The sequence below is a fragment of the Homo sapiens genome, chromosome 20 (assembly GCF_000001405.40).
Source record: "Homo sapiens chromosome 20, GRCh38.p14 Primary Assembly".
NCBI lineage: Eukaryota > Metazoa > Chordata > Mammalia > Primates > Hominidae > Homo > Homo sapiens.
Genome location: NC_000020.11, coordinates 5,662,724 through 5,670,905, shown reverse-complemented (window position 1 = coordinate 5,670,905; position 8,182 = coordinate 5,662,724).

Below are 8,182 nucleotides of genomic sequence, written 5' to 3'. Positions count from 1 at the left end.
GCTGAGCACAAACTTTCCATTATTTTCTTTTTCTTTTTTTTTTTTTTTTTGAGATGGAGTCTCGCTCGGTTGCCCAGGCTGGAGTGCGGTGGCGCGATCTCGGCTCACTGCAAGCTCCACCTTCTGGGTTCATGCCATTCTCCTGCCTCAGCCTCCCAAGCAGCTGGGACTACAGGTGCCTGCCACCACGCCTGGCTAATTTTTTTGTATTTTTAGTAGAGACGGGGTTTCACTGTGTTAGCCAGGATGGTCTCGATCTCCTGACCTCGTGATCCACCCGCCTCGGCCTCCCAAAGTGCTGGGATTACAGGCATGAGCCACCGCGCCCGGCAACTTTCCATTATTTTCAAAGGGGACATCATACTGAGTTTCTGAGGTTGTTAGAAAAATAGATGATTTGTGCCACTAAAGTTAAAGATGGGGGCATTTTTTTTAGTGGACAAAAAAGTAATAAATTTTAGGAGCATTGTTTCACTCTCAAACATCATTATAATCATGCAGAAGGAAAGAAAACTAATCACTTATGGTTCCATTACCACCTGTTTTCACATTTTTAATGACAGTCAGCAAAAGCGGTAGGTTTAAAAGAACAATTTTCGATTTCTTCTCACCTCGATTTTCTGCTAGTGAATTTCACTGTTGCGTCTTGAGTGCTTCTGTTGCAACACATGTGTGTTCATTTCTGCCTATACTTGTGGCCTCTCTCCAGCTATTAAGCCACCCACAGTTTAATTCATGTGTATCATCCGTTCATTAGGGAGTGCAAGGCAGAGGGGTTTTGAAAACTATTTTCATTCAATCTAGTGCGTGTGGAAAAAAAGAAAATTCTATTTTCTCTAATTGCATTTTCTACCATGCTCTTTGAATCCCCCTTCCCATCCCTCAGTGATATCTACAATAGATGCTACTGGAGCCTTAACAATACAGCTCTCAAATTCACACCAACTTCTTCTTGTTTTTTTGTTTATTGAGACCGAGTCTCACTCTGTCACTCAGGCTAGAGTGCAGTGGTGTGATCTTGGCTAACTGCAACCCCTGCCCTCCAGCCTGGGTGACAGGGCGAGACTCTGTCTCAAAAAAAAAAGTTAGACTCTTCCTCTCCGAGAGCTGGAAATCTATGTTCCAGGATTCTCCCTGTTCCCCACCTCGCCCAGGTGCCCTTTCCAGCCTAGTTCTCCACCGTTGGCATTCATGAGGAGAAGAGGCTCTGACCTCCTCCTTGACTGCCCTCCTAGGAGGATTCTCTCAGGCTGGGCTCTGCAGCTGGAGGCCCCCATAGAGGCGGTGGGCTCCGCTGAGATGGTGAGTGCCATTCTTTCGGAATGCCACATGACTTCATGTGAGCCCTTTCTACTCCTGAGGTCATCCCTCAGGCAAAGGCAGTCAGGTCTCCCCTCAGCCTCTACCAGCCTCTGTACTCTAGCCTTTCTCCGGGGGAAGCTTCTCTTTGCTGGACACCACCTGGGCAGCCCTAGGTATCCACCCACCACTCCACTTTATGCTCCTTCATAAGGAGGCGTGGGACCCTTGATGCACTCTTCCTGCCCTCAGGCAAAGGGAAAGCCCTCATCCTTTCCTTGTGGGGCATGCTTATCCACAACAGGCTGCTTCATCAGGCCTCCCCTTTTCACAGTTTTTCATTCAAGAAGCACTGCCAGCCTCTGGCTTTATGAGCACTCCCAAAGTCCAGGGATATGTGTCAACTCTCCCAAAATCCCTGAATGTGTGAATATTCAAAACTGAGTCCCTGATAGCCTCCCCAAACCTGCTCCTCCTGCAGTCATCCTACCACAGCTAGTGGCAATTTCATCCTTCCAGATGCTCAAAACCCATGGAGTGATCCTCAGCTGGTCTCTCTTCCCCATACCCTATTTCCAATGTGAGAGCAAATCCATCAGCACCACCTTCAAGATACATCCAGAATCCAACCTCTTGTCATCACCTTCACAGCTATCATCTCTCACCTGAATTATTGTAATATCCTCCCAACACATCTCTCTGCTTCCAATCTGCTCGCTGTATCAGTTATCCAATGCCATATCATCCTTACTGAATATCCTTATTGGATATTATGGAGTACATTTCATAAGAAACAGCCACAAAACCTCAGTGGCCTGCAATACTAATGCCTCTGGGGTTAACTGGGGACCAGCTGATGGCTCACGCCCATGTCTGGGGATCAGCTGGTTGAGTTGACTGAGGCTATTCAGCTCTGCTCTGTGTGTTTCTCATCCTCCAGCGGGCTCGCCTGGGCAGGTTCTCGGGACGATGGCAGAAGCACAAGATAGCAAGTGGAAACCTGCAAGGCTCCTTGAAGCCTTGGCTTGGAACTGCTGTGCCATCACTTCTGTCTCATTATATGGGCCAAAGCAAGTCATATGGTCAAGCCCAGAGTCAGAGTAGAAAGTCTTTACCAAGTACATGGCTGAAATAAAGTCAAGTGGTAGGAAAGTGCATGTTGCCTCTTGTTGGGTGGAGCTGCAATGTGACAGCAAAGCATGTAGATGAGGGGAGGGATGAAGACTGGGACTTTCAACACAATCAGCTTCCCACATCCCTGCCCTGTCCAGCCTCCCATATAGCACTTCACTGCTTAAAACTCTCCCAACTATAAAACTCTTGGAAGAAAATTTAGGGAGAAAGCTTCATAACATTGGATTTCACAATAATTTCTTAGATATCATGCCAAAAGTACAGGCAACAAAAGTAAAAATAGATAAATTAGGTTACACCAAAATTTGAAATTTCTGTGCCTCAAAAGACACTATCAAAAGACTGAAGAGGTAGCCTACAGAATGGGAGAAAATATTTGAAATTATATATATAATAAAGGGTTGATATGCAAGCCATATGAAGGATTCCTACAACAAAACAAACAACCCCAGTAAACATGGGCAAATAAACATTTCTCCAAAGAAGACATACGAATGGCCAACAAGCACATGAAAAGACGCTCAACATCACTAATCACCAGGGAAATGCAAATTGAAACCACAGTGAGATACCAGCGCTCCTTTCTGGAGGCTCTATGAGGAGAAGCTGTTTCTTTACTCATTCAGGCTATTGGCAGAATTCAGTCCCTTTCGGCTGTAGAACTGAGGTCCCCTTGCTGGCTGTGAGTGAGGGCTGTTCCCTGCTTCTAGAGGCTGTCCCTTGGCTTATGGCCCCCTTCCTCTAATTCAAAGCCAACAATGGTAGGCAAGTCCCTTTCATGCTTTGAACCTCCCCTAGAGTCAGGATTTTGCCATGGTGCCCAGGCTGGTCCTGAACTCTTGGGCTCAAGCGATCTGCCCATCTCAGCCTCCCAAAGTTTCTTTTCTACTTTTAAGGGCCCATGTAACTACGTTAGACCTGTCCAGACAGTCCAGGATAATTTCCTAACCCAAAAGTCCATAAATTTAATTGCATTTGCAAAGTCCCCTTTACTAGGTAATGTAGCTTGCGCAGGTCTAAAACCAAGGATTAGGGAATTGACATCTTCAGGAGGATTGTTACTCTCCCTACCACTATGACCCCAGGTGAGAGCGTCAGAAGAACTGCCCAGCTGAGTCCAACCCAAAGACTGACCCACAGAGACACCAGCAAATAAGATGAGTGGTTTGCTATTGCAGCAATAATGTGCAGGCACATCATGACCACAATAATCTCTGATCACAAACAGCCAAAGGAAAATGCCCTTGGAATATGTACTCAAAATGCAAAGGAGTCACTCAAACCTTGAAAGCTCTCAGAGACAAAGTTCTTGGGGCTCACTCAGAAACCTGATCCAATCTTCTTGCTGTTAAACGTTCCTCAAAATGAGAAATGGGTAATCAATCTTGGAAGGACAATGGATTCTCCAAATTAATTATCAGTAAAATGTAGAGGTTGGACTCAAAAGACCATTAAATGTCTACCTATGCTCCATGCTTTTCTGATTATCTCACACCCAGCAGCATGTTGAAAATTGGTTGTGGTGGCCGGGCGCGGTGGCTCAAGTCTGTAATCCCAGCACTTTGGGAGGCCGAGAAGGGCGGATCACAAGGTCAGGAGATCAAGACCATCCCGGCTAATAGGGTGAAACCCTGTCTCTACTAAAAATACAAAAAAAATTAGCCGGGCGTGGTGGCGGGCACCTGTAGTCCCAACTACTCGGGACGCTGAGGCAGGAGAATGGCGTGAACCCGGGAGGTGGAGCTTGCAGTGAGCCGAGATCGCGCCACTGCACTCCAGCCTGGGCGACAGAGCAAGACTCCGTCTCAAAAAAAAGAAGAAAATTGGCTGTGGTGCCAGATGGGTCTCTTCAGGTCTGCCATTTGTCCTGCAAGAGGGTGGACACATTTCACATTGTACAACATCGGTTGAGAAAAAGTCTTCATTGTGAAAAGGTGAGTTCTACAAGACCAGGATAGCAAGACAAAGTCACATGTGGTCTTCAGCCTCTCATCAAATCAAGGACCAATCTGCCATAGCCAAGACAGCTGCTGGACACACAGTAGGCCCATTCCAGTGAAAGGACAGCACCCAAGCTCCAGTGCCTATTGGCCTGGGATACTTGGCCAGTGGGGAAATGCAACAGCCCAGGGACTAGAAGGTCCCCAACTGCCCCAGCCGTAAGGCTCTTGATATTCCTAGACAACTCCATTTTACAGCTGACTTCCCAGATCCGAACCACTTGGTACCAGTCCATGCGATCCTTCGTTGACAAGGGCACTTTCTCATTCTTGCTTTTTATGGGGAGGGGGTGGGGGGAATGGAGACTCGCTCTGTCGCCAGGCTGGAGTGCAGTGGCGTGATCTCGGCTCACTGCAACCTCCGCCTCCCGGGTTCAAGCGATTCTCCCGCCTCAGCCTCCTGAGTAGCTGGGACTACAGGTGGCCACCACCACACCCAGCTAATTTTTGTATTTTTAGTAGAGATGGGGTTTCACCATGTTGGCCAGGCTGGTCTTGATCGTCTTGACCTTGTGATCTGCCCACCTTGGCCTCCCAAAGTGCTGGGATTACAGGCGTGAGTCACTACACCCGGCCCTCATTCTTGCCGTATAAGAAGAAAGACCACAGTAGGGAAGGGAGTTACTCCACTGGAATATCACTCACACCATATCCATAGATGTCCTGGCCCTGACATATCTTCTTTGGGATTATGAGAGAAGGTGGGACTGCGTGGGATTATAAGAGGACGTGGTGACAGTCAAGCTCTTTGTGGAAGGGCAGAGCTACACTGCACAAGGATAAGGGGTGGAGTGAGGATGGAGGGTGTTAGCTGCCCTGCACACTGGTAGGAAGGGTTTACAGCTCTGTAGAGATAGAGCCTCTGAATGGGATGGCTGCATGTATGCAAATGGTTTGGGGCCCTAGGTATTACACAGAGGCCTTGACAAACAGGCTCCACCTAAACTTGAGGGGAGAAGACACTGGAGCTGGGTAGTAAAACTCTACATCTTCCAGTGGATCAGAAGGCAAGACATCTGGACTGAGTAAGCCCTGGGTGCTGGCATAATCCTAAAGAATTGCAGAGGAACCTCTTCACCAGAAAAATGGGGTTGAATTTATCTACCACTAAAGTCAATAGAGGCTGAACCAGATTTAATTTTATTTAGGAATATACAGAAAAGTGACGGGCGGGCATGGCGGCTCACACCTATAATCTCAGCTCTTTGAGAGGCAGAGGCAGGAGGATTGCTTGAGCCCAGCAGTTCAAGACCAGCCTAGGCAACATAGTGAGACCTTGTCTCTACAAAAAAATGAAAAAGTTAGTCCAGTGTGGTGGTGCACACCTGTAATCTCAGCTACTCAGGAGGCTGAGGTGGGAGAATCACTTGAACCTGGGAAATTGAGGCTGTAGTGAGCCGTGGTCACATCACACCACCGCACTCCAGCCTGGGTAACAGAGCAAGACCCCATCTCAAAACAAAAAGAAAAGGGCCCGGGCACGGTGGCTCAAGCTTGTAATCCCAGCACTTTGGGAGGCCGAGGCAGGCAAATTACCCGAGGTCAAGAGTTCAAGACCAGCCTGGTCCACATGGTGAAACCACATCTCTACTAAAAATATATTTTAAAAAATCAGCCAGGTGTGGTGGCGGGCACCTGAAATCCCAGCTACCCGGGAGGCTGAGGCAGAAGAATTGCTTGAACCTGGTAGGCGGAGGTTGTAGTTAGCTGAGATCCCACCACTGCACTCCAGCTTGGGTGATAGAGCGAGACTTTGTCTCCAAAAAAAAAAAAAAACAAAGAAAAAAGTGACAGTTCTTAAGTTTGATTCTCACAGAAAAAATTCATACAGATTCATATATATGAGCATAAAATCATATTAATAAAGGGCTATTATATATAAGATGTAATATCCAAAAGAAAGGACAAGTAAAGGTTGTTTAGGTACTGAAATAGTGAGAGAAATCATTGACAATGAGAGGGTTCTTATATCCCCTCAGATCTTACCAGAAAGGCTGATGCTTCTTACTCTGCTTTGTTTTTGGTTTTTCGGGGTTTGTTTTTGAGACAGGATCTTGCTCTGTCACCCAGGCTAGAGTAATCATGATTAGACAGCATAATCATAGCTCACTGCGGCCTCAACTTCCTGGACTCAAGTAATCCTCCCACCTCAGCCTCCCAAAATCCTGGGATTACAGGTGTGAGCCACTATACCCAGCCTGCTTTATTTTTTTATTTTTTATTCTTGAGATGAATTTTGTTCTTTTTGCCCAGGCTGGAGTGCAGCGGCATGATCTCGGCTTACTGCAACCTCTGCCTCCCGGGTTCAAGCAATTCTCCTCCTCCTTCATTTTTATTATATTTTTTATTTAAAAAATTATTAACTTACAAAAGAGAGAGAGAGAGAGAGAGAGAGAGAGAGACGAGGTCTCATTATGTTGCCCAGGCTGGTCTCAAACTCCTGGCCTCAAGCGATCCTCCTGCCCTGGCCTCCCAAAGTACTGGGATTATAGGTGTGAGCCACCGTGCCCAGCCTAGGCTGCTTTCTTAAAAGCCTCACTTAGTAGATCTTAGAGACTTTGCAAAGAAACATACTTCAGTAGTCTGTCATGTTGGAAATTGAAAGTCAACTTAAGCATCATGTCCAAAATTGCAAAAACCATCATTTGCCAAGCAATTTGTTTTTGTTTTTGTTTTTTTGAGACAGAGCTTCAGTCTTGTTGCTCAGGCTGGAGCGCAGTGGCACAATCGCGGCTCACTACAACCTCCACCTCCCAGGTGCAAGTGATTCTCGTGCCTCAGCCTCTGGAGTAGCTGGGATTACAGGATGCCAAGCAATTTGTTTTGAACAGTTGCCTTGCCTATGAAAGGCAGCCAGTAGAAGGTAACATTGTATTGTGGCAATGTAAACACAGACTATCTTCTTATAAACACATGCCCTAAAGACCATGAGCCGCTCATTCAACCTTGGGAGTCAGCAATTGCATGTGGATGTAATGACTGGAAGTTTTCAGATAGGAAAAAAACACAAGGTGTGTCTTTTCAGGGTGAACTAGGGAGATTAATGGTTACATTAATATCCAACTATTAGACATATTTACTGCTGCAGGAGAACCATCTCCTTACACCATAGCTTGGCCTCATGATAGTGGAGAAAATCACCTGCATATATAAATATGAAATGTGACTGACTATAATGGGGCTATAATGTTGAAGATTTTTAATGATCAGTCAAGGTCAATGGATTACAAGCTTTTGAAGTGTCTAAAGTTTGTCCCAGCCGACGATTATCTGGATAGAGAGGGACTTAGAGGAGTGTCTTAGTCTGCTTTGGCTGTCATAGTAAAATATCACAGACTGGGTGGCTGAAGCAACAGAAATGTATTTTCTCACAGTTCTGGAGGCTGAAAACCTAAGATCAGGATAACAGCAAGGTCAGGGTGTGGTGAGGGCTCTCTTCCTGGCTGGCAGATGGCTGCCTTCTAGCTGTGTGCCCACATGGCCTTTCCTCAGTGCACGCATGTGGAGAGACAGCAATCTCTCTCTTTTCCTCTTTCTATAAGGCTACCAGTCCTACGCCTCCACCCTTTTGGCCTCACTTAACCTTAGCATGAAACAATAGCAACCTACAGTAAGAGAGGGTGGAATCTGCAGCTCAGAGCAAGGAGGGCTGGAATATTCAAAGGAGGCTTGATTATGTATTTATTTATTTACTTACTTTAGAGGCAGAATCTCATTCTGTCACCCAGACTGGAGTCCAGTGGCATGAT